Source organism: Homo sapiens, chromosome 1, assembly GCF_000001405.40.
Source record: "Homo sapiens chromosome 1, GRCh38.p14 Primary Assembly".
Lineage (NCBI taxonomy): Eukaryota > Metazoa > Chordata > Mammalia > Primates > Hominidae > Homo > Homo sapiens.
This window is the reverse complement of record NC_000001.11, coordinates 145,886,093-145,910,054: the sequence shown is the minus strand read 5'-3', so window position 1 is coordinate 145,910,054 and position 23,962 is coordinate 145,886,093. Positions and strand designations below refer to the sequence as shown.

The following is a 23,962-nucleotide window of genomic DNA, read 5'->3' as shown; positions in this document are numbered from 1 at the left end:
GGCCAGAGGACTTCTCATACTGGACAGAAACCGATCAGGCATGGAACTCCCCTTCGTCACTCACCTGTTCTTGCCCCTGGTGTTCCTGACAGGTGAGGGAAGTTAACTTCTTGGTTTCTGGTGGGGATGGAAGATACATAGATTGTTTGGAATTGGGACCATTATAGTTAAAATTCTTTGGGATTTAGGTTAGGAAGCGAACACTGGTTGTACATTTCTTGTATGTGTGTCTGTGTCCTTGTGCATTTTTATGCCCTCACATATGACTGTTTGAATATTGAGACTGGCAGGGGCTAAAGCTGCCTAGGACCTTGTGTAAGATTTGTATCTAATAATTATATAATATATAATGTATAATTATATATTATATATAATATACATATAATATATAACAATTATATATTATATATAATATACATATAATATATAACATAATTATATATTATATATAATATACATATAATATGTAACATAATTATATATTATATATAATATACATATAATATATAACATAATTATATATTATATATAATATACATATAATATATAACATAATTATATATTATATATAATATACATATAATATATAACATAATTATATATTATATAGTTATATATTGTATATAATAATTATTATTATTTTTTAAAGATAGGGTCTCACTTTGTTGTCTAGGCTGGAGTGCAGTGGTGCAACCACAGCTCAGTAGTTGGGACTACTAGGTACGCGCCACCACGCACAGCTAATTTTTTTTTTTGAAACAGGGTCTCACTCTGTCATTCAAGCTGGAGTGCAGTGGCATGATCATGGCTCACTCTAGCCTCAACCTCCCAGGCTGAGGTGATCCTTCCACCTTAGCCTCCCGAGTAGCTGGGACTATAGGCGTGTGCTACCACGCCTGGCTAATTTTTTTTTTTTTAGAGACAGAGTTTTGCTATGTTGGCCAGGCTGGTCTTTAACTCCTGGACTCAAGCAATCCGCCCCCGACAGCCACCCAAAGTGCCGGGATTATAGGCATGAGCCACCATGCTTGGCTGAGATTTGTATCTAAATATATAAAATCTTCATCCTAAGCCCTATAGGGGTAAGGAGACAAAAAAGAAATGTGATGTGACCTTCCACGTGGCTAGTCTGATTCCTATTATCCCCTCCCTAACTTCTTACCCTTGGTGGTCCCTGGGGCCTGAGGCATAACTGACTAACTATGTGGTCAGAACTCTGGGTTTATCTAACCAATGAGCTGCAGTTTCTGGTCATACAGCCCTGCCAGTTTTCTGGATGCAAAACTGCTCACATACTAAACACCTTTCTGAAAATGAGCATGGTTTGGGATAAAGCTATAGCCATTGGTAATGGTGAGGGGGTAGCCTGAGAGGGGGTTGCTTAGAAGTACAGAGCAAGACATAGTTGGGGAAAGGACCATGGGAAGGACAAGAGGCCTGGAATTTTTCCTTGGCAGTGCCCTGTAATCATTGTTTCCTAAAATACCAGCTCTGATTTTAAAGGCATTGGGGTCAAAAGGGAAGATTAGCTAGGGTCGGGCACCTTTAGAATGGGCTGAAGGCTGAGGAAACCATGGAGGTAGGTAGGGGACCAGTTGGGAGAGTAGATTAGTTAAAAAGGAAGCAGGTTGTGGGAAACTTCAGGATGATGGGACCCTTGGAAAGGATGGATGGCAAACTATGTGTGTGGGCAGGCGAGTGGCCCCACCCAGTTAATTACCACTGAGATTTCCAAGGCTGGAATCAACCAGGGACCTAGACATTGGAAAAAGACAGTGAGAGTGTGACAATGACACTGGAAGTCAGGAAGAGATAGAGAAGGAGAGAGCCAGACATGCAGTGCTCCTTAGCTTCCTTTCATTCCCCCTATTTTGGGGAGAATTGGAAGCAATGGTTGTTCTGGGGATACAGAAAGGCCCTCTCCCTCTTTTGACCCTCACAGTTTGTTGAGGAGAGTGTGTGGAAGGAATGTTGTGGAAAAGAGTAGCCAGGCGCGGTGGCTCACGCCTGTAATCCCAGCACTTTGGGAGGCCGAGGCGGGCGGATCATGAGGTCAGGAGATCGAGACCATCCTGGCTAACACGGTGAAACTCCGTCTCTACTAAAAATAAGAAAAATTAGCCGGGCGAGGTGGCAGGCGCCTGTAGTGCCAGCTACACGGGAGGCTGAGGCAGGAGAATGGCGTGAACCCAGGGGGGCGGAGCCTGCAGTAAGCCGAGATCACGCCACTGCACTCCAGCCTGGGCGACAGAGAGACTCCGTCTCAAAAAAAAAAAAAAAAAAAAAAAAAAAAAAGTAACTTGACCTTTTCAGACATGTCTGTGAATGAAATTTCAGGGGTGGGAATGGAAATACAGCTGTACATCAGCATGGCAGAGGGCCACAGTTTAGGCATCTGGACACAAACACAGGAAGGGAATCATCTTTGCCTGGAGCTCTGAGTACATGACACTGAGAGAGGCCAGAAAAGCTTATGAGTGAAAAAGCAGGCAGGCAGACTGAGATTAAGACGCTTCCTCACAGCTTCTCTCGGGCTGTGCCTCTAGCCATTCACTACCTCATACTAACATTATGATCCTGACCCCACAGGTCTCTGCTCCCCCTTTAACCTGGATGAACATCACCCACGCCTATTCCCAGGGCCACCAGAAGCTGAATTTGGATACAGTGTCTTACAACATGTTGGGGGTGGACAGCGATGGTGAGGAAGAAACCGGAGTGCCAGGGGATTGGGACTGCAGTAGTGCTAACAAAGGGGAGGCAAGATAGATGGGACTCTAAACTAATCTGGTCTTTTGAAAGTGGCTGGGGCTCTAAACTTACCACCTCCATGCTCTTTCCCTTTGGCCTATGTCAAGGGTCATGTTTGCCCTGTGCTTACTTACATTCACATCCTCTTCCCAGGATGCTGGTGGGCGCCCCCTGGGATGGGCCTTCAGGCGACCGGAGGGGGGACGTTTATCGCTGCCCTGTAGGGGGGGCCCACAATGCCCCATGTGCCAAGGGCCACTTAGGTGAGAAGATGCCTGACCCTTCTCCTCCTAACCCCTGACTTTGATACTCTAGAAGCTTCAACTCCCTATACCTCAGCTTTTTCACCCCTAAAATCCGCATACTCCCTGTCCCCAATCTGATACCAATCCCTGCTCATTCTCCTCCAAAATCACATGAATTCAAGCACCCCATCTATGACCCCATGATCTCATTCTCTTCCACCTCCTTCCAACCAGGTGACTACCAACTGGGAAATTCATCTCATCCTGCTGTGAATATGCACCTGGGGATGTCTCTGTTAGAGACAGATGGTGATGGGGGATTCATGGTGAGCTAAGGAGAGGGTGGTGGCAGTGTCTCTGAAGGTCCATAAAAGAAAAAAGAGAAGTGTGGTAAGGGAAAATGGTCTGTGTGGAGGGGTCAAGGAGTTAAAAACCCTAGAAAGCAAAAGGTAGGTAATGTCAGGGAGTAGTCTTCATGCCTCCTTCAACTGGGAGCATGTTCTGAGGGTGCCCTCCCAAGCCTGGGAGTAACTATTTCCCCCATCCCCAGGCCTGTGCCCCTCTCTGGTCTCGTGCTTGTGGCAGCTCTGTCTTCAGTTCTGGGATATGTGCCCGTGTGGATGCTTCATTCCAGCCTCAGGGAAGCCTGGCACCCACTGCCCAACGTGAGCCAGAGGAAGGCTGAGTACTTGGTTCCCAGAAGGAGATACTGGGTGGGAAAAAGATGGGGCAAAGCGGTATGATGCCTGGCAAAGGGCCTGCATGGCTATCCTCATTGCTACCTAATGTGCTTGCAAAAGCTCCATGTTTCCTAACAGATTCAGACTCCTGGCCAGGTGTGGTGGCCCACACCTGTAATTCTAGCACTTTGGGAGGCCAAGGTGGGCAGATCACTTGAGGTCAGGAGTTCAAGACCAGCCTGGCCAACATGGTGAAACTCCATCTCTACTAAAAAAAAAAAATACAAAAATTAGCTGGGTGCGCTAGTGCATGCCTGTAATCTCATCTACTCGGGAGGCTAAGACAGGAGACTCTCACTTCAACCCAGGAGGTGGAGGTTGCGGTGAGCCAAGATTGTGCCTCTGCACTCTAGCGTGGGTGACAGAGTAAGCGAGACTCCATCTCAAAAATAATAATAATAATAATTCAGACTCCTTATCAGGAGTCCATGATCTGGCCTGGCACAGTAACTCATGCCTGTAATCCCAACATTTTGGGAGGCCAACGCAGGAGGATTGCTTGAGGTCTGGAGGTTTGAGACCAGCCTGGGCAACATAGAGAGACCCCATCTCTACAAAAATAAAAAATAAAAAAATTAGCTGGGTATGGTGGTGCATGCCTGTGGTCCCAGCTACTCAGGAGGCCAAGGTGGGAGGATCACTTGAGCCCAGGTGGTCCAGGCTGCAGTGAGCCATGATTATGCCACTACACTCCAGCCTGGGCGACAGAGTGAGACTCTGTCTCAAAAACAAACAAAATGGGCCAGGCGTGGTGGCTCACGCCTGTAATCCCAGCACTTTGGGAGGCCGAGGCCAGTGGATCACGAGGTCAGGAGATCGAGACCATCCTGGCTAACAGAGTAAAACCCTGTCTCTGCTAAAAACACAAAAAATTAGCCGGGTGTCGTGGCGGGCGCCTGTAGTCCCAGCTACTCGGGAGGCTGAGGCAGGAGAATGGCGTGAACCCAGGAGGCAGAGCTTGCAGTGAGCCGAGATTGCGCCACTGCACTCCAGCCTGGGCAATAGAGCGAGACTCTGTCTCAAAAAAAAAAAAATGTTCTCTACCCACATGCCTTTCCTAATATTCTCTTCTCCTTAAACATTTTCAGTCTTCATAGTTGCTACCATGTTTCATTCCTCACCATCAGAACCACTCTGCTTTTGTTCCCCCACCATACAGTCATTGCTATGTTCCTACATAGCATTTAATTCCTTCTTGTTTTTTAGAACATTGTATATATAAATTATATCTATGTATATAAATGTGTAGGTGTGTGTGTTTATATACCTATATATACATATATACATATATATACATTTATATGTATACTTACATACACACAATTACTAAAGATTACTAAAGGAATATTTTATTAATTTCTACACTTACACAGAGCCTGGCACAGTACCTTCTTTGCATGTAAGAAGTGCCTTATAAATGTCTAAATTGAATGTGTCCTCCTGTGACCTCTTTCCCTTGTTGCCCCCAGCTCAGTGTCCTCTACCTCAGTGTTCTCCTTCCTTCTAGGCTGCCCAACATACATGGATGTTGTCATTGTCTTGGATGGCTCCAACAGCATCTACCCCTGGTCTGAAGTTCAGACCTTCCTACGAAGACTGGTAGGGAAACTGTTTATTGACCCAGAACAGATACAGGTAAGAGAAGGCAATATGAGCTGGGCACAGTTGCTTGTGGCACCTACTTAAGAGGTGGAGGTGGGAGGATCCCCTGAGGCCAGGAGTTCAAGACTAGCCTGGGCAATACAGTGAGACCTCATCTCTAAAAATATGAAAGAAAAAAAAAATAGCCAGGCATGGTGGCATGCGCCTACAGTCCCAGCTACTCAGGAGGCTGAGGCAAGAGATCAGTTGAGCCCAGGAGTTTGAGGCTGTAGTGAGCTTTGATCACACAACTGCACTCCAGCCTGGGTGAAAGAGTGAGACCTCATTTCTTAGAGAGAGAGAGAAAGGCAATATGGATGGGCTTGGAAGGGGAGAGACAGAGAGAGAGGGGATAAATGTAGGTGTTGTCTTCAGTAGTATCCAGGTGTTCATCTCTCCTCTCTTATATACTTTCTTCTTCCTCCTCTCCCCCCATCTCACATACATACATTTCATTTGAATGCGCTTTATTCCCAGGTGGGACTGGTACAGTATGGGGAGAGCCCTGTACATGAGTGGTCCCTGGGAGATTTCCGAACGAAGGAAGAAGTGGTGAGAGCAGCAAAGAACCTCAGTCGGCGGGAGGGACGAGAAACAAAGACTGCCCAAGCAATAATGGTGGCCTGGTGAGGCATTGGGAAGACAGGTGTGGGAGGCTAGAGCAATGAAGGCTTAGAAGAGTTAGGGCGGGGCCAGGCATGGTGGCTCACGCCTGTAATCCCAGCACTTTGGGAGGCAAGGCAGGCGGATCACCTGAGGTCAGGAGTTCGAGACCAGCCTGACCAACATGGAGAAACCCCATCTCTACTAAAAATACAAAATTAGCCAGGCATGGTGGCGCATGCCTGTTCAGAGGCATGCTACTTCGGAGGCTGAGGCAGGAGAATCACTTAATCCCGGGAGGTGGAGGTTGCAGTGAGTCGAGATCACAACATTGCACTCCAGCCTGGGCAACGAGAGCAAAACTCCATCTAAAATAAAATAAAATAAAATGAAATGAAAATCTTTCCCTTAAAAAAAAAAAAAGAAGAAGAAGAAGAGTTAGGGCAGGTTTGGAGTGCAGTGTGTATATCCCAAGATGTCTTGCATACTTTCTTTGTATGTACACTAATGGTACAAAGAGGAAGGCTAAGTGGGCTGTCATTGTACTCCCTCTCACTGCATTTCTACAAAGTATCTATGTCTGTGTCTCTCCATATTTCACAGACAGAAGTCTCTTTCTATCCCTCCACTCCAACAATGATCCTGGCCCACAGGTTCTCCACTACTGATGTCCTAGCCCACGTTCCAAACATGATCCAAAACTCATCTCTAGGGGCACGGTGGTAAAATTGAAACAAAACAAAACAACTCATCTCTGGGAGGAGTCCCTGCCCAGATCATTCTTTTCCGTTCTATATTTCATCGATATTTCCCCTCCCAAGTGCAATATTTGTTGAATGAATCTGAGTGTATGAACGTTGTACTTATTTGGACTGATAAGCTACTCTGTATGTTCTATGACCTTCAAACATTTGAGCTCTCACTCCATGCCATCTCCATGTTAAATACTCAGGAAATGGCCTAAAAGGCAAGATGCCTGACCTCAGGGAAGTGCTGATGTTAAATCCTGTGTGTGTGTGTGTGTGTGTGTGTGTGTGTGTGTGTGTGTGTATGTGTGTGTGTGTGTGTGTGTCTGCATACATCTGATCTCACCTCACTCCTTTCTCTTCTCAGCACAGAAGGGTTCAGTCAGTCCCATGGGGGCCGACCCGAGGCTGCCAGGCTACTGGTGGTTGTCACTGATGGAGAGTCCCATGATGGAGAGGAGCTTCCTGCAGCACTAAAGGCCTGTGAGGCTGGAAGAGTGACACGCTATGGGATTGCAGTGAGAATTCACCCTGGATCTGGAAGAGTTGGGGAGTGGCAGGGGGGCAGTGTCTTGTGAACTGTCCAAGGACTGGGAACTTGAGGAAAACAAGGGCATTAACTACTTCCCAGACTTCAGCCACAGCATGTTAGTTGGCTGTGTTCTGTACCAACTCTAATGCCTCATTCCTTGATCTTATGACCTCTTAGGTCCTTGGTCACTACCTCCGGCGGCAGCGAGATCCCAGCTCTTTCCTGAGAGAAATTAGAACTATTGCCAGTGATCCAGATGAGCGATTCTTCTTCAATGTCACAGATGAGGCTGCTCTGACTGACATTGTGGATGCACTAGGAGATCGGATTTTTGGCCTTGAAGGTGAGGATTACTCTGGAGAAATGGACAGGGCGGGAGAAGTTCTGGAGTGTAGGTGGGGCTCTGGAGTGAGTTCAGTAGGTCAAAGGGGAAACTGTCTTCCCCTGATATTGTCTCAATGTTTTCTCATGACCAAGGGTCCCATGCAGAAAACGAAAGCTCCTTTGGGCTGGAAATGTCTCAGATTGGTTTCTCCACTCATCGGCTAAAGGTTGGACAGATTGACCCCTTCATTACTTCTCCCATTCTCTGACTCAGATAACTTCAACCACAGGGCCCTCCAGATTCCTCCTTTAACCAGCCTCCATGCTCACCTTCCCATGCCTTTCCAACTGAGCCCAGCAGACCCTCAGTGATCTTTTCACTCCTGGAACGTTTTTTTTCTCTTTATTCCCCACTGTCTTCTCAGTGACCCCATCTGCTTCTGTCCCACAGGATGGGATTCTTTTTGGGATGGTGGGGGCCTATGACTGGGGAGGCTCTGTGCTATGGCTTGAAGGAGGCCACCGCCTTTTCCCCCCACGAATGGCACTGGAAGACGAGTTCCCCCCTGCATTGCAGAACCATGCAGCCTACCTGGGTGAGCAGCAGAGAGTTGCAGAGGACTTACAGGGTAGGGGAGGAAATACATCCCTAGTGGGGGCGGGTATGAAATACTCCCTCTTAACTCATGCGGTTTCTCACTGACCTCTGGTTACTTCCCTTGGGACCTCCTGCTATGCCTTTAGGGAACCCCCCTACTCTGGACCCCATCTTCTTTTCCTTTACCTCTGTTACTTTGCCCACTTCTAGGTTACTCTGTTTCTTCCATGCTTTTGCGGGGTGGACGCCGCCTGTTTCTCTCTGGGGCTCCTCGATTTAGACATCGAGGAAAAGTCATCGCCTTCCAGCTTAAGAAAGATGGGGCTGTGAGGGTTGCCCAGAGCCTCCAGGGGGAGCAGGTAGGGCATCCAAGGAAGGGTGGGACCTTTGGATTCCCAGGGACCTCTGGGCTGTTGGGGAGGAGTGTGAAGTGGGTAAGAGAGAGGCCTCCAAAGTCTGTGCGGAATTCTGGTTGGCAGAGTCTGTCAGGGATGTAAGGAGCAGACTAGCAGGCTGGTGAGTGCTTCCCACTGAGTCCACTTGTCTACAGTTACCTTCCCTTTTCTCTGGGGTCATCATCACCCACCATTCCCCAGATTGGTTCATACTTTGGCAGTGAGCTCTGCCCATTGGATACAGATAGGGATGGAACAACTGATGTCTTACTTGTGGCTGCCCCCATGTTCCTGGGACCCCAGAACAAGGAAACAGGACGTGTTTATGTGTATCTGGTAGGCCAGGTGAGACTTGCTGGGACCCCCTGCCCTGGACTTGCATTGTGGGGGTGGAGGGAGGAAAGGAGGGAAGGTGCACATATTTGAGGGTTTGCTGAGAGGTTGGGTCTGCCAGATTAGCATCTTCTATCTTCTCTCCTCCACCAGCAGTCCTTGCTGACCCTCCAAGGAACACTTCAGCCAGAACCCCCCCAGGATGCTCGGTTTGGCTTTGCCATGGGAGCTCTTCCTGATCTGAACCAAGATGGTTTTGCTGATGTGGCTGTGGGGGCGCCTCTGGAAGATGGGCACCAGGGAGCACTGTACCTGTACCATGGAACCCAGAGTGGAGTCAGGCCCCATCCTGCCCAGGTCAGGAGTACCCAAATAAAGCAGGGGCACGGTTGTAGGAAGAGGAATAGGGGGATGCTCTTTGCTTGTCAATAGTCTCCTTGGCTTGAGACCCAAACTGAACAAGTGCTTTTATTAGTAGGCAAAAACATAAGGCAGTGGACAGGTTGCTGAACTAAGAACTCCTGAACACAGGCAAGTTTCTCTTATTCCCAGGACTGACGGGAGCATTATAAAGAGCAAGGCATGGCCGGGTGTGGTGGTTCACGCCTGTAATCCCAGCACTTTGGAAGGCTGAGGCAGGCAGATCACCTGAGGTCAGGAGTTCGAGACCAGCCTGGCCAACATGATGAAACTCTACTAAAAATACAAAAAATTAGCCGGGCCTGGTGGCGCACACCTATAATCCCAGTTACTCAGGAGGCTAGGGCAGGAGAATCGCTTGAACCTGGGAGGCGGAGGTTGCAGTGAGCCAAGATCACACCATTGCACTCCAGCCTGGGCAACAAGAGTGAAACTCCATCTCAAAAATAAATAAATAAATAAAAAGAAAGAGCAAGGCAGGAGGCCTGAGAAACTAGGTGTATGGGTCCCTGCCTCAGTATTCTCTCTCTTCCTCTCAGAGGATTGCTGCTGCCTCCATGCCACATGCCCTCAGCTACTTTGGCCGAAGTGTGGATGGTCGGCTAGATCTGGATGGAGATGATCTGGTCGATGTGGCTGTGGGTGCCCAGGGGGCAGCCATCCTGCTCAGGTGAGGGGTCCCAGCTCAGGTGGTGGTGGACAGCATAGCATAGCTGTTAAAGGCAAGGGCCTTAAAGTCACAGATGGAGATTTGGTTTTCTTGGTCAACTTACTCTGTGCCTCCATTCTTAGTTTATAAAATGACAGTAGTAATAGTACCTACCTTATAGGTTTATTGTGAAGATTAAATGAGATAATCCATATAATGATTTGAACACAGTGCCTAGCATGTAAGTGCGTATTGAAGTGAATCTAGGGCTGGGTACAGTGGCTCACACCTGTAATCCCAGCACTTTGGGAGGCGAAGGTAGGAGGATCATTTGAGGCCAGGAGTTCAAGAACAGCCTGACCAACATGGTGAAACCCCGTCTCTACTAAAAATACAAAAAAATTAGCTGAGCATGGTTGTGGGCACCAGTAATCCCAGCTACTCGGGAGGCTGAGGCAGGAGAATCACTTGAACCCAGGAGGCAGAGGTTGCAGTGAGCTGAGATCGCCCCACTGCACTCCAGCGTGGGCCACAGAGTGAAACTCCATCTCAAAAAAAAAAAAAGATCAATGACATGAATCTATTATCTTACTTCTGTCAGAGGGTTCGGGGGAGGGTGACATGTGCATTCAGCCCCTCCTTCTTTGTTTTGACCATGGGGAAGCAAACACTGGGCTTGCACTTCTCAGAGGGCTTACCTCCTACTGCTAGAATTTCTTTTCCACACTGTTCCCAGCTCCCGGCCCATTGTCCATCTGACCCCATCACTGGAGGTGACCCCACAGGCCATCAGTGTGGTTCAGAGGGACTGTAGGCGGCGAGGCCAAGAGGCAGTCTGTCTGACTGCAGCCCTTTGCTTCCAAGTGACCTCCCGTACTCCTGGTCGCTGGGATCACCAATTCTGTGAGTGACTAAAATGCATCACAGGCAACTCTCAATTCCTTGCATGCCTTCCTCACTAGACCCCTTTCCACCCTCACTCTTGCCTCCTTCATTCAGACATGAGGTTCACCGCATCACTGGATGAATGGACTGCTGGGGCACGTGCAGCATTTGATGGCTCTGGCCAGAGGTTGTCCCCTCGGAGGCTCCGGCTCAGTGTGGGGAATGTCACTTGTGAGCAGCTACACTTCCATGTGCTGGTAAGGAGAGGGCAGTAACTGCTTAGCATCAGGGCCTGAGAATGAGGAGAAAGCTGGGTCAGAGGAGGAATTTTAGCTGAATCAGCAAGAAAGCCAAAGCCGGGAAAATGAGATGATTCAGACTTTGGAGTCAGGGCTGATCTGGGTTTGAATCCTAGCTCTGCCATTTACCACCTATGAATTCTGGCAAGTCCAACCCTCAGTTTTCTTGTCTGCAAAGGGGTGATAATAATAACTGTATCATAGGAGTTGTATTAAAATTAAATTTAGCCGGGCGCAGTGGCTCACGCTTGTAATCCCAGCACTTTGGGAGGCCGAGGCAGGTGGATCACAAGGTCAGGAGATCGAGACCATCCTGGCTAACATGGTGAAACCCCATCTGTACTAAAAATACAAAAAATTAGCCGGGCGTGGTGGCAGGTGCCTGTAGTCCCAGCTACTCGGGAGGCTGAGGCAGGAGAATGGCCTGAACCCAGGAGGCAGAGCTTGCAGTGAGCCGAGATCATGCCACTGCACTCCAGCCTGGGCGACAGAGCGAGACTCTGTCTCAAAAATAAATAAATAAATAAATAAATTAACTAATTAATTAAATTTAGTAATACAGTTAAGATCTTAGGACAGTGCCCAGCACACAGAAAATGCTTCATAAATGATCACTACAATTATCACAAGATCCTTGACTCTGTGACTCTGTGACTCTGTTTTCCTTCAGGATACATCAGATTACCTCCGGCCAGTGGCCTTGACTGTGACCTTTGCCTTGGACAATACTACAAAGCCAGGGCCTGTGCTGAATGAGGGCTCACCCACCTCTATACAAAAGCTGGTCAGCAGTGCCATGCCCTGCCCCTTGCTCCCAACACTGCCCTCCTTCAAGAGAAAAGGGAGGGAGGGAGAAGACATGAGATCATGGTGAAATCTGACCTGGGCTCCTCTAATCAAAATATACCCACTTTTGTCTTTTCACTTTCCCCCTATTCTATTCCTTTCCTCCTTGCTTTCCTCTCAACCCTTAGCCCCTTCCCTTTCTTCCAGGTCCCCTTCTCAAAGGATTGTGGCCCTGACAATGAATGTGTCACAGACCTGGTGCTTCAAGTGAATATGGACATCAGAGGCTCCAGGTTGGATGGACATGTACTAGGCAAACCAGGGTGACCTGAGACAGACTGGAAGGGACTCGAAGGGCGGGTAGGGGGTTGTTTCTTACCCATGATAACAAAAGTGAGACTTTTGGCACTCCCCTCCTTCAACTCCTGGTCTCTCCCTCATTCATCATTCCCAGGAAGGCCCCATTTGTGGTTCGAGGTGGCCGGCGGAAAGTGCTGGTATCTACAACTCTGGAGAACAGAAAGGAAAATGCTTACAATACGAGCCTGAGTCTCATCTTCTCTAGAAACCTCCACCTGGCCAGTCTCACTCCTCAGGTGCCTTTGGAGGAGGGGGTGTGGGAGAAGGAAAGAAAGGAGGAGGAAGAAGATTGGGGTATTGGCCTCAGCTGTGAGGTCCTCTAGAGAAAGGCTCAGTGTTTAGAGGCTGTGGGTAGGACAGCAGTTGCAGCCCCAGCTCCAGCTTCTATCTCCATTCCCCTGCCCTCAGAGAGAGAGCCCAATAAAGGTGGAATGTGCCGCCCCTTCTGCTCATGCCCGGCTCTGCAGTGTGGGGCATCCTGTCTTCCAGACTGGAGCCAAGGTGGGTTGGGGTCTAGGATGAAAAGAGGGCTCTAGGAGGGCAGAGGCTGGGATCTGAGGGTCCTGGGACTTCAGGGAAGGGGGCGCACAAGGGCTCCTGTTCCTCTGTAGTTGTTCCATGAGGAAGACTCTACCATTACCCTGTGTCCCCTGCCCCTAGGTGACCTTTCTGCTAGAGTTTGAGTTTAGCTGCTCCTCTCTCCTGAGCCAGGTCTTCGTGAAGCTGACTGCCAGCAGGTGAGAATGAAGGGAACTTTCTTCCAGACCTCTCCTCCTACTGAGTCTTGACTGGAGGGGTGGGGAGGAACAACATTGATTCCTCTATTAACAGAGAAGGGTGTCTTCTGAGGAGGGGTTGAGATGTGAGCCTCTCCCCTCTGACCCTACAGTGACAGCCTGGAGAGAAATGGGACCCTTCAAGATAACACAGCCCAGACCTCAGCCTACATCCAATATGAGCCCCACCTCCTGTTCTCTAGGTATGCCCAGCTTCTAGGGTGGGACCCAGTTCTGACCTCAGACTCATACCCTTATGCTGCTTCCCTCCCCTTCCATGTGCCTCAGTTTTTCCAAAAACCCAAGCCCTTGCGGCTGCTCAGTCTTTTTGCCCTCAATCCTATTCATGCTGAATCTTCCCTTTTAAGCATCTTACTTTCCTAGGTATAGTGTTTTGCCAGGCCTTGGGCACTGGAGCTGGGATGAGGGGATATGGGATGTAGCCATAAAGCTTGCATTGTCTGTGTCATGTTCTACTTCTGTCTTCTCCATGTACCCCCACCTCTTTATCCATGTGCTGGCCCTGCCTCCTCTGAATCCACGTCTGTGTGCTGATCATGTGCCCCTGTGTCTGTGTTATGGCTGTGACCATGTACTTCCTGACTTGGTGTTCACACAGTGAGTCTACCCTGCACCGCTATGAGGTTCACCCATATGGGACCCTCCCAGTGGGTCCTGGCCCAGAATTCAAAACCACTCTCAGGGTGAGAAGCTGGAGGGGTCTTGGCATGAGGAGAATGTGGGGGAACAACAGCTTTGTGGGAAAAGGATGGGAAGGGTCTCTCTTGGATTTTAATGGTATCTAGGGTGAAGGGGAACAAATGAGGAAGGGTCTTCTGTCTCCCACTTCTTCCTATTCCCAACCTTCCTCTTAGGTTCAGAACCTAGGCTGCTATGTGGTCAGTGGCCTCATCATCTCAGCCCTCCTTCCAGCTGTGGCCCATGGGGGCAATTACTTCCTATCACTGTCTCAAGTCATCACTAACAATGTGAGTCTGGTCTAGGAGGGCATGGAATCCTGCCACCTTGAGCTGGTGGACTCACTGAAGCTGGACACCACACCAGCTCCCTATCTGTTGGGCCTCTGCTCTTGGGGCTCTTCTCTCTGGGGGGCTTTCTTTTTACACATGTGGCTTATTAGAGAGAAGAAAAAGGTATTATAAGGGGAAGAACTACAAGGGTGTAGGTATGTTCCAACTCAGCCTTGAGTGGCTAGCGCCACCCCATCAGGAGGGTCTTTCAAGTTGGATCTTCCTCTAGGCAAGCTGCATAGTGCAGAACCTGACTGAACCCCCAGGCCCACCTGTGCATCCAGAGGAGCTTCAACACACAAACAGACTGGTATGAGTCACAAAGGGGTGTCCAGAGTGGGAATGCAAGTGGAGTTGGGTGACTTGGGACAAGAGGGTAGGAACTGGAGTGGGGAAGAAGGGATCTTTCCACCCCAGGGTCCTGATCTGGAGTGGGAATGAAAATGGAGTCAGGTGCCTTGGGACAAGACTGTGTGAACTAGAGGTGGGGAAAGAGGATGTTTCTACCCCAGAGTCCTGATCTGTCTCTCTCTGTCTCTTCTGTTAGAATGGGAGCAATACTCAGTGTCAGGTGGTGAGGTGCCACCTTGGGCAGCTGGCAAAGGGGACTGAGGTCTCTGTTGGACTATTGAGGCTGGTTCACAATGAATTTTTCCGAAGAGTAAGCCTTTCCTTTTCTAGTACTCCCCACTTCTGCTCCTTTCTGGAACTTTAGCATAGGTTTTGGAGGTAGACAGACCCACGTTCAAGTTTCACTTTTGCCTCTTACTAGCTATTTGACCATGAGCAAGTTATTTCATCTCTCTAAGCCTCTTTTTCCTAATCTCTAAAATGGGAAGATAATACCAATTTCATGGGGTTGTTATAAAGAATAAATGAATAATGAGCTGGACATATGGTGAACACTCAGTGGAAGCTAGTTATTATCCTTGTATTTTCCTCCACTGACCATTACTTTTTTTTTTCCTGACCATTCCTTAGTGCTGTATCAATCAACATTTGCAGGATACCTAAATTTAATCAGTTAAGAATCCATCACGTTCCTATTACGTAAAAGGCCCTGTATTAGGTTGACACTGAGAATATCTCCAACATTTAGCCTCATGCCTAACTCATTGTAGGCGCTTAACATATTTTTGCTAAATGAATGAATTATTGATATTACATGCAGGATTTGTACTGGGGAGTGGTGGGAAGTAAGATTGTATAGGTGAGAGGGATCTAGATTACGAAAGGCCTCTGAAGCCAGGGAGAAACTGAACTTAATATGACAGGTAGTGAGGAGTCAGTGTGAGTTCCTCCTGGGCAGGGAAATGGCATCTTAATTGTAATGGCTGTTTGGCACTAAGGTCAATGTTGTGCTTTCCCATATCTACCTGGAATAACACAAGATCCCTGGGATGTCATCATATGTTTTAGGGAAGTTAAGTCCAATAAACCACCCTTCTCCAAGTCTCTGTCCTTCTTTGGTATCTTTTTTTCACTAGTCTATTCATGCTTTCAACAAAGATTTATTAAGAAACCACTACATGGCCGGGCGCGGTGGCTCACGCCTGTAATCCCTGCACTTTGGGAGGCCAAGGTGGGCAGATCATGAGATCAGGAGATCGAGACCATCCTGGCTAACACGGTGAAACCCTGTCTCTATTAAAAATAAAAAAATTAGCCAGGTGTGGTGGCAGGCGCCTATAGTCCCAGCTACTTGGGAGGTTGAGGCAGGAGAATGGCATTAACCCGAGAGATGGAGTTTGCAGTGAGCCGAGATCACGCCACTGCACTCCAGCCTGGGTGACAGAGCGAGACTCCATCTCAAAAAAAAAAAAAAGAAACCACTACATACTTGGTACTCTGCTATCTAGTAGGCACTAAGGACACAAAGGTTAGTAAGGCACAGCCTTTAACCTAGAGGATCTTATAGTTCAGGAGTGAAAAACAGAAGTAAACACCAGTGTTGGTGGGGGTTAGGAGGAATGATTTCCCTAAATCCCAGAGGGGATGACATCTAAACTTCAATCTAAAGGAGGGGTAGAGGTCAGCCAAAGGAAAGAGGAGTAGAATGCATTTCAGGTAAAGCACCAGATGTATTGATTGTCCTTGGAAAACAAACAGCAGCAGCAGATGTGACCAGGGGTTTTCCATCTATTACCCTTCCTCTCTTTTCCCATTGGTCTTCAGCCTTTTCTTCTGGTCTTGAGAGCCCTCAACATTATGCCTCTCAGCCTCAACTTTGCTGTTGGGATTCCAAAGAACTATATCACCTGATAATGGCTCATTTTAAATGTCTTCCTATCCACTTGTTCCATAGGCCAAGTTCAAGTCCCTGACGGTGGTCAGCACCTTTGAGCTGGGAACCGAAGAGGGCAGTGTCCTACAGCTGACTGAAGCCTCCCGTTGGAGTGAGGTAGGGCTGGAGACCGAGTCTGAGAGCTGTGAAAATAATGATGATGGGTATGTGGTAGGGCCACCCGTGGGCTTTTTCAGAACGAAGGCATCTCCATCAGGCAGCAGGATCCTAGTGTTCCACTGCCGCCATTCCTGCCTCAGTTTCTTTCCTTTAAGTAGCAGGAGGTTATTTATTCTATTTGGGGGCTGGCTTTGATATAATGTGGGGTGAGGCTAGCTGGGTTATAGGATGCATGTAGAAAACTACTCTTCTGTCCACGCAGAGCCTCTTGGAGGTGGTTCAGACCCGGCCTATCCTCATCTCCCTGTGGATCCTCATAGGCAGTGTCCTGGGAGGGTTGCTCCTGCTTGCTCTCCTTGTCTTCTGCCTGTGGAAGGTAAGCACTGCTTTAGTGGGGAGTGTGGAGCATGATGCCCATGAGTTGAGGGATCCTTGATTATAGCAGAGAGAACAGGATTTGTGCTGGGCAGCTAACCAGGCTGTGGATGTCATGCCCAGATCTCCTTCACTGTACCCCACAAATGTTGGTTAAATTATTCTAAGCCAAATAAAATAAATTTGAATTCCATTTTTGGAAACAGAACAAAAGTGAAGACCTCAGATAAGTCTGAGAGCTACTGGCAAGGTTCCCAGTCTAGGCATTTGGCAGTGACGCTTATCTTTTCTTCTACAGCTTGGCTTCTTTGCCCATAAGAAAATCCCTGAGGAAGAAAAAAGAGAAGAGAAGTTGGAGCAATGAATGTAGAATAAGGGTCTAGAAAGTCCTCCCTGGCAGCTTCTTCAAGAGACTTGCATAAAAGCAGAGGTTTGGGGGCTCAGATGGGACAAGAAGCCGCCTCTGGACTATCTCCCCAGACCAGCAGCCTGACTTGACTTTTGAGTCCTAGGGATGCTGCTGGCTAGAGATGAGGCTTTACCTCAGACAAGAAGAGCTGGCACCAAAACTAGCCATGCTCCCACCCTCTGCTTCCCTCCTCCTCGTGATCCTGGTTCCATAGCCAACACTGGGGCTTTTGTTTGGGGTCCTTTTATCCCCAGGAATCAATAATTTTTTTGCCTAGGTGCCTGACTCCTTTCAGATTCCCTCTTTATCTTCCCTCACAGTTTGGAAAGGATGAGGGTTATCTTCCTCGATTCTTCCACCCTCTCACTTTCCTGCCTGTTCCCCACTCCACAGGAGGGAGCTGACGTTGGCTTGAAAGGAGTAAAGTCAACATCTGCTGCTTTCCTGTGGACTCTGGTGATTCATAGAGCCGGATGGGGAGAGTCAACAGGAAAAAAGGAGGGAGGAGGAAAAGCCACAAGAGACATTCTGTACAATTCCAAGGAACAGAGAAGCCTTTAGACAGGCAACTGCCATCCCCCCTGAAACCTGAGACCTGTAGTGCACTCGACCGCCCTCAGGTGTTGGTGAAACAGAGCTGCCCCCAGGCTCGCTGGGCATAGGCTTCCTGATTCCAAGCCTTTTCTGGGAGCAAAGCCAGGGCCTGGTGCCTGATTTTCTGAAGCCAGGAGCCCTCAGGTGGCTGGAGCTGGAATAGCAGGGAGGACTGGGTGTACCTAGGCAGTATTTTCTCTACTTCTCTCAAGTCTTATACTCACTCTTGAGCCCTCCTTGGGGCCTGCTTAGAAAGCAGACAGGAGAGAGAGTACTGCTACTTGATGATGGGAAATGCTTTCACTTTACCAGCTTTGGGAAGCAGCAGCCCCATGGGATCTAAAAGTGTGGAGTCTGCATTAAGAAACCTACATGGGTGGCATGGGGCTCTGGGGAGCAAGCCCTTACTTGCTCAGCACTGGTTATGTAGCACAAATAGCTCCTAGGAAAATGTTTCTGGGGCAACCCTAGAACCCTGGTCATATTTTGCAGGGTTTCTCTGGTGGAATCAGTTTGCCAGCCCTTGCTTGATGCTTACTGGAAATCTCCAGGTTAATTTCTATCTCTGATCCCTCCCCAACCCACTCCATATTTGGGTCATGGACAGTAAAGGCAGTTGGATTCTCATAGACAACTGGGTAACTTATATTTCTTTGTAATCAAGACTTGAGATATCGAAGTCAGTTATTGGTCTCCAGAGTGCAGCTCTGGGAGCCTTTTGAAGAATCAGCACTCATTAAGAGCTGAGAAGAGAGAAGACCTGATTGGGTGGTTGACTAGCAGTCACAGAACCTGTCCTCCCAGGCTGTTCCTGAGGCCTGACCACAGTATTTATTTTGGCATGTCTCTGGCCTTCTGCAGAGGCCCACCCTCATGGGCATTGTCTCTGTTTCCCAGTGGGGTGGACAGTATATCAGATGGTCAGAACAAATAAAGTTCAGTGTCAAATGACTTTTGGCTCTATATGTATTCCCTAGGATATAGACTGCTCAGTAATAGTGAGAGGTAGATACTTGTTTTGCCTGGGATTTTACAGAGTGGAGTCCCTGGAAGGCAAAGTTAAGAAGTATTTTAAATGTTTTCTGTGGCTTTCCCACAGGAGATGTATTCTAGCCTCCTGTAATTCTCACCTGCTTAAGTGACCAGAAAGTATAAAGGTCTGGGAAGCACAGAGGTTTAGATTGAAATCCTATCTGCCATTTATTAGCTGTATGGCCTTCAGCAAATCATAACTTCCTTGAGGCTCAGATAATAAAAGGCTGTGTATTACAGTGGTTAACAATGAAGGCAGATTTGGGTTTAAATCTAGGCTACACAACTTAAAAAGTCTGTTTGACCTAGGACAGACTTAACTTCTCTAAGTCTTGGCTTTCTCATCTTTAAACCTATTAGGGTCATGAAGACAAAATGAAATAATCCAAGAAAAGTGAGCATTTAGTAAATGCTCAGTAAATGGTAACTATTATTATAAAACTATTTTGTCATAAAATAATCTACCATATCATGCCTTGTGAGGATTAAGGGAGAAAGTATACTGGAGCACCAGGTGGTGGTGTTCCTGCTCTCTGACCCATCTCCCAGATTGTGAAGATGTGTTTCTACGTGCTGTTGTCTCATCCACTAAATCTTGTCCTATGCCTCATCTTTTTTTTTTTTTTTTTTTTTTTTTTTGAGACAGAGTCTCGCCCTGTCGCCCAGGCTGGAGTGCAGTGGCACGATCTCAGCTCACTGCAACCTCTGCCTCCTGGGTCCAAGCAATTCTCCTGCCTCAGCCTCCTGAGTAGTTGGGACTACAGGTGTGCACCACCATGCCCAGCTAATTTTTGGATATTTAGTAGAGACAGGGTTTCACCATGTTGACCAGGCTGATCTTGAACTCCTGATTCACGTGATCTGCCTGCCTCAGCCTCCCAAAGTGCTGGGATTACAGGTATGAGCCACTGTGCCTGGCCTGCCTCATCCCTTTTGAAATAAGCTCTTTGAGCCCTCTAAGGTGATAATTAGCTGAAGAATTTAAGGTTCTAATGGTAGAGATCAAATCTATTTGATTCCATTAAGCAGGTATCTTCTAGGCTCCTCTTGAGACACCCAGAGTTTTTCCATTATCCTGAGAGAACACGTGCACTTAAGCAATGGCCTTCTAGAGACCGAGTCTCTGCCTCTATTGCCTAACCCTGAGAATTGTGGCCTGTCTGGCCTATTTGGCATGAACACCATTCTGTGTCAACCTGCTGAGTTGTTTTGTGACAGGAAAGGGTTTCCATTGTGACCCTCAGTGCACTTCATACAGGCTGTAACTTGATCAGCCTTTATGGAGCACACAGTTTCTAGGGCTGAGACCGCAACCAGATTATGTTGACAGACTCTCCTCTCCTCTTTACCCTCAGTCAGCCCCCAAATGGAGGTAGGTTTCCTTGAGTACTGGTTCATCTAATGCTCACACATATATACATATACACACATATATATGTGTGTGTGTTTGTGTGTGTATACATATATATATATTTAAATTTTTTTTAGAGAGGGGGTCTCACTATGTTGCCTAGGCTGGTCTCCAACTCCTGGCCTCAAGCAATCCTCCCGTCTTGGCCTTTCCACATGCTGGGATTATAGGTGTGAGCCACTGTGACTGACCTCATGTAATTCTTTTTTTTTTTTTTTTAGGATTAATTTCTTTTATTTATTTATTTATTTTATTTTACTTCAAGTTCTAGGGTATGTGTGCACAACATGCAGGTTTGTTACATATGTATACATGTGCCGTGTTGGTGTGCTGCACCCATTAACTCATCATTTACATTAGGTATATCTCCTAATGCTATCCCTCCCTGCTCCCTGACCTCATGTAATTCTTTATCCATATGATTAAGAGAGCACTTTTAATATATTTTTCCAACTAGAGATTCCCCTCCTATCCATCGTCAGCTCCAGACTGGGGCTTTCTCTAAACCCAATCTTGTTACCCCTTTCTTTGCAATAGTATTAGTTTAAGAAGCAACTGTGTATTGTTCCTTCCTTTCCTTGTTGTTGCTCCTTTGCTTCTTCATTAATTTTTTTCATTCATTTATTCATCAGATATCAAGCACGTAATATGTGCTTGACAATGGCAATAATATAAAACACAACTACCATCAAAGAGTCCAGTCCAGTAGCAGAAACAAACATGTAAACAAATAGTGGCAAATACAGCCTGGACGCAGTGGCTCACACCTGTGATCCCAGGACTTTGGGAGGTCGTGGCAGGTGGATCACTTGAGTTCAGGAGTTCGAGACCATCTTGGACAACATGTGAAACCCTGTCTTTACCAAAAATACAGAAACAATTAGCTGGGCATGGTGGTACGCACCTGTAGTCCCATCTACTTGGGAGGCTGAGGTGGGAGGATGGCACGAGCCCAGGAAGTGGAGGTTACAGTGAGCCGACATCACGCCATTGCGCTGCAGCCTGGGTGACAGAGTGAGACACTATCTCAAAAACAAAAAAAAATGGCAAATGCAAAGAGGTGGTTGCTATATATCAACAAGCACTAGGAGTATGTCATACAAGAGGCATACTTTGTTGGGCGGTGGGGGTGGCGGGGTTGTAAGGGAAAACTTTATAGAAAAAAGAAATTTGGCTGCGGGGTTGTTCTGTGCAGGAAACGCACAAGGGGAGAAGAAGAGACACACACAATACCTTTAAGGGTAAACAAGCTTTATCCCATGTAAATGGCAATGGAGATATAATAAGCAAATGGTACAAGCAAATTAATATAATAAGCAAATTATATAATAAGTAAGCAAATGATATAATAAACAGATTGATATAATAAGCAAATTGCAATGGGAAGGGGAGAAGGGAAAAGATGTTTACATTCACCAGACTATGGAGGATTTACCACCAGACTGGAAAGCAACAGCCTGGGTTCCAGAGTTGAACACCGCACTCATAAGACTATAGAGGATTCACCACCAGACTGAGAAGCAACAGCCTGGGCTCCAGAGTTGGCCACTCATCCATGCACAGACGAGGAGAGGTCTCATGAAGTTTTGGCGCAGTCTGGGACCCTAGCTCTTTTTGTAACGAGTTGTTTGGCATGAGGCCCAGTCACGGGGCCCTTGGCGACTGGGCTCAAGGAACACAAAACATTCAACTTATTTTTGCAATTGTCTATTGTTTTTCAATAACTAACGTGTAGGAATAGATTGAAATAGAGATTTCTCCAAAACAGTGCTGGACGAACACCTCAAGGGGCTCACACAACCTGTTCTGGGACTTGGTGACCATTGTTTCTGTCCACGTTCAATTGAGTTCAAATTTAATATTTAACTTTTCCACCGCAGGGATCAAATGTGACAGGAGGCATTCTTGGGAGGATTAATCACCAGCTGCAAAGGGAATTGTAAATTAGAACAGTTTGAGGCCTGGTGCTCTGGGAGTTGAGGTGAGGAGAATCGCTTGAGCCCAGGAGTTCAAAACCAGTCTGGGCAACATGGTGAAACCCCATCTCTACCAAATATATGAAAATTAGCTGGGCATGGTGATGTGCACCTATAGTCCCAGCTACTCAGGAGGCTGAAGTGGGAGGATCCCTTGAGCTTAAGAAGTCAAGGCTGCTGCAGTGAGCCCCGATCATGCTATCACACTCCAGCCTGGGTGACAGCGAGACCCTGTCTCAAAACAAAAAAAACAAGGCCAGGCATAGTGGCTCACGCCTGTAATCCCAGCACTTTGGGAGGCCAAGGCAGGTGGATCACTTGAGGTCAGGAATTTGAGACCAGTCCGGCCAACATGGCAAAACCCTGTCTCTACTAAAAATACAAAACTTAGCGGGCGTGATGGCACATACCTGTAATCCCAGCCACTTGGGAGGCTGAGGCAGGAGAATTGCTTGGACCGGGAAGGCAGAGGCTGCGGTGAGTGAGCCGAGATTGTGCCACTGCACTTCAGTCTGGGTGAGACTCTGTCTCAAAAAATAAAAATAATAATAATAAAAAAAGAAACAGTTTGAGTGGCTCTTTTGTGTGAAAGTAATGAGAGATGGGACTGGGAAAGAGGGCGGCAGCATATGACTCCTGAAGAGCCTTGTAAACCACTTAAGAACTTTGGGCTTTACCCTGTAGGTTTTCATATGCATTTTAGTGAGCTCTCTCCGGCGGGGAGAGGAGAAAAGAAAGACAGGAAGACCAGTTGGCTGCGACTGACTGTTCAAGAATTACCAAGAGCCTGAACTTCAAGGGCAGTGGAAATAATGAAGACAGTTTTTTGTTTGGTTATTTTTTGTTTCTATGCGGGGGCGGGGGCGGGGGGGGCAGCTTAAAATAAAATTGCTCTCCTCGCTCTCTGCTGTTTTCTAATTCAGATGTGCGTTTAAAAATTGAGCCTGGGCCAGGAATAGTGGTGGCTCATGCCTATAATCCCAGCGCTTTGGGAGGCTACGGTGAGGAGAATCGCTTGAGGCCTGGAGTTGAAGACCAGACTGGGTAACATAGAGACACTCCATCTCTTAAAAAAAAAAAAAAAAAATTAGCCAGGCGTGGTGGTGCATGCCTGTAGTCTCAGCTACTCGGGAGGCTGGAGTGAGAGAATCCCTTAAGCCCACAAGTTGGAGGTTACGGTGAGCTATGATAGCGCCATGCACTCCAGCCTGGCCGACAGAGGGACAGATTAGAGACACTGTCTCAGAAAACAGAAAGAAAAAATAAAATTGAACCTGATCACCTTTCCTTAGGTTTTGTCCCCCAGGTTACCGTGGGCCGCGCATTATCTCTGCTCTGCTTAACACTACAATCTCCTATTTCCGAACTGCTCTCTTCAAATGCTCTTTTTTGCTTGGGTTTTTGGCCGGGGAATAGTGGCGGGGGAGAGGCGGGGGGAGTTGGCGGGGGCAGAGGTAACTTTACCAGTGATTAAATGCAAATGCGACAGTCCGTGAGACCGAAGCCCCTGGTAGAAGCCGGGACCCTCCTGCCTCTGGCTGCCGCTCTCCGAGGGGCGGGGCTGAGGCGGGGCTTGGGGCGGAGGCCCCGCCTGGAACTGAGGGTGGGGCGGGTCCGGGTCCGGGAGGAGTCTCAGCTGGAGCCCAC

The 23,962-nt window shown here is 47.7% G+C and overlaps 1 protein-coding gene and 1 long non-coding RNA gene across 21 annotated transcripts, besides 1 other annotated feature; one reads left to right on the top strand and one right to left on the bottom strand.

Annotated features, from left to right (window-relative positions):
* Positions 5–18,847, top strand: ITGA10 (integrin subunit alpha 10). Of its 20 annotated transcripts, none has more exons than XM_047432895.1 (30): positions 5–92; positions 2,590–2,701; positions 2,905–3,014; positions 3,231–3,322; positions 3,547–3,661; positions 5,244–5,371; positions 5,855–6,003; positions 7,094–7,244; positions 7,436–7,601; positions 7,736–7,809; positions 8,034–8,178; positions 8,391–8,539; positions 8,777–8,920; positions 9,065–9,265; positions 9,868–9,998; positions 10,714–10,880; positions 10,977–11,119; positions 11,832–11,945; positions 12,155–12,240; positions 12,402–12,543; positions 12,716–12,808; positions 12,968–13,044; positions 13,197–13,286; positions 13,703–13,787; positions 13,959–14,072; positions 14,344–14,424; positions 14,662–14,775; positions 16,420–16,515; positions 16,781–16,894; positions 17,192–18,847. In XM_047432895.1, the coding sequence occupies exons 1-30, from the start codon at positions 41–43 to the stop codon at positions 17,255–17,257; spliced, it is 3,501 nt and encodes a 1,166-aa protein (XP_047288851.1). In that variant the 5' UTR covers positions 5–40; the 3' UTR covers positions 17,258–18,847. The 20 variants fall into 20 exon arrangements, 18 of the variants coding, with proteins under 18 accessions (XP_047288851.1, NP_003628.2, XP_047288865.1 ...); NM_003637.5 differs by having other exon boundaries at positions 9,062–9,265; XM_047432909.1 differs by lacking the exon at positions 14,662–14,775.
* Positions 18,848–21,573: 2,726 nt separating this feature from the next.
* ANKRD35-DT (ANKRD35 divergent transcript) lies at positions 21,574–23,875 on the bottom strand. Its single transcript, XR_001737758.2, has 3 exons — positions 23,780–23,875; positions 22,726–22,839; positions 21,574–22,264 (listed from the first exon to the last, which is right to left on the bottom strand). It is a non-coding gene; the product is annotated as an ANKRD35 divergent transcript (long non-coding RNA).
* Positions 23,796–23,885: a silencer, noted in NCBI's record as "silent region_1268". NCBI's record gives its function as "represses an Ori minimal core promoter by ATAC-STARR-seq in GM12878 lymphoblastoid cells {active_cell/tissue: GM12878}" and the evidence as "EXISTENCE:reporter gene assay evidence [ECO:0000049][PMID:35858748]".

Excerpts from the sequence above, each read along its gene's own strand:
- ITGA10 (XM_017002622.1), top strand. The coding sequence starts at position 2,699 with ATGGTGAGGAAGAAACCGGAGTGCCAGGGGATTGGGACTGCAGTAGTG. Across the intron at positions 3,662-5,243 it reads CCTGGCACCCACTGCCCAAC|GCTGCCCAACATACATGGAT; the intron begins GTGAGCCAGAGG and ends CCTTCCTTCTAG. Across the intron at positions 12,809-12,967 it reads TCTTCCAGACTGGAGCCAAG|GTGACCTTTCTGCTAGAGTT; the intron begins GTGGGTTGGGGT and ends CCCTGCCCCTAG.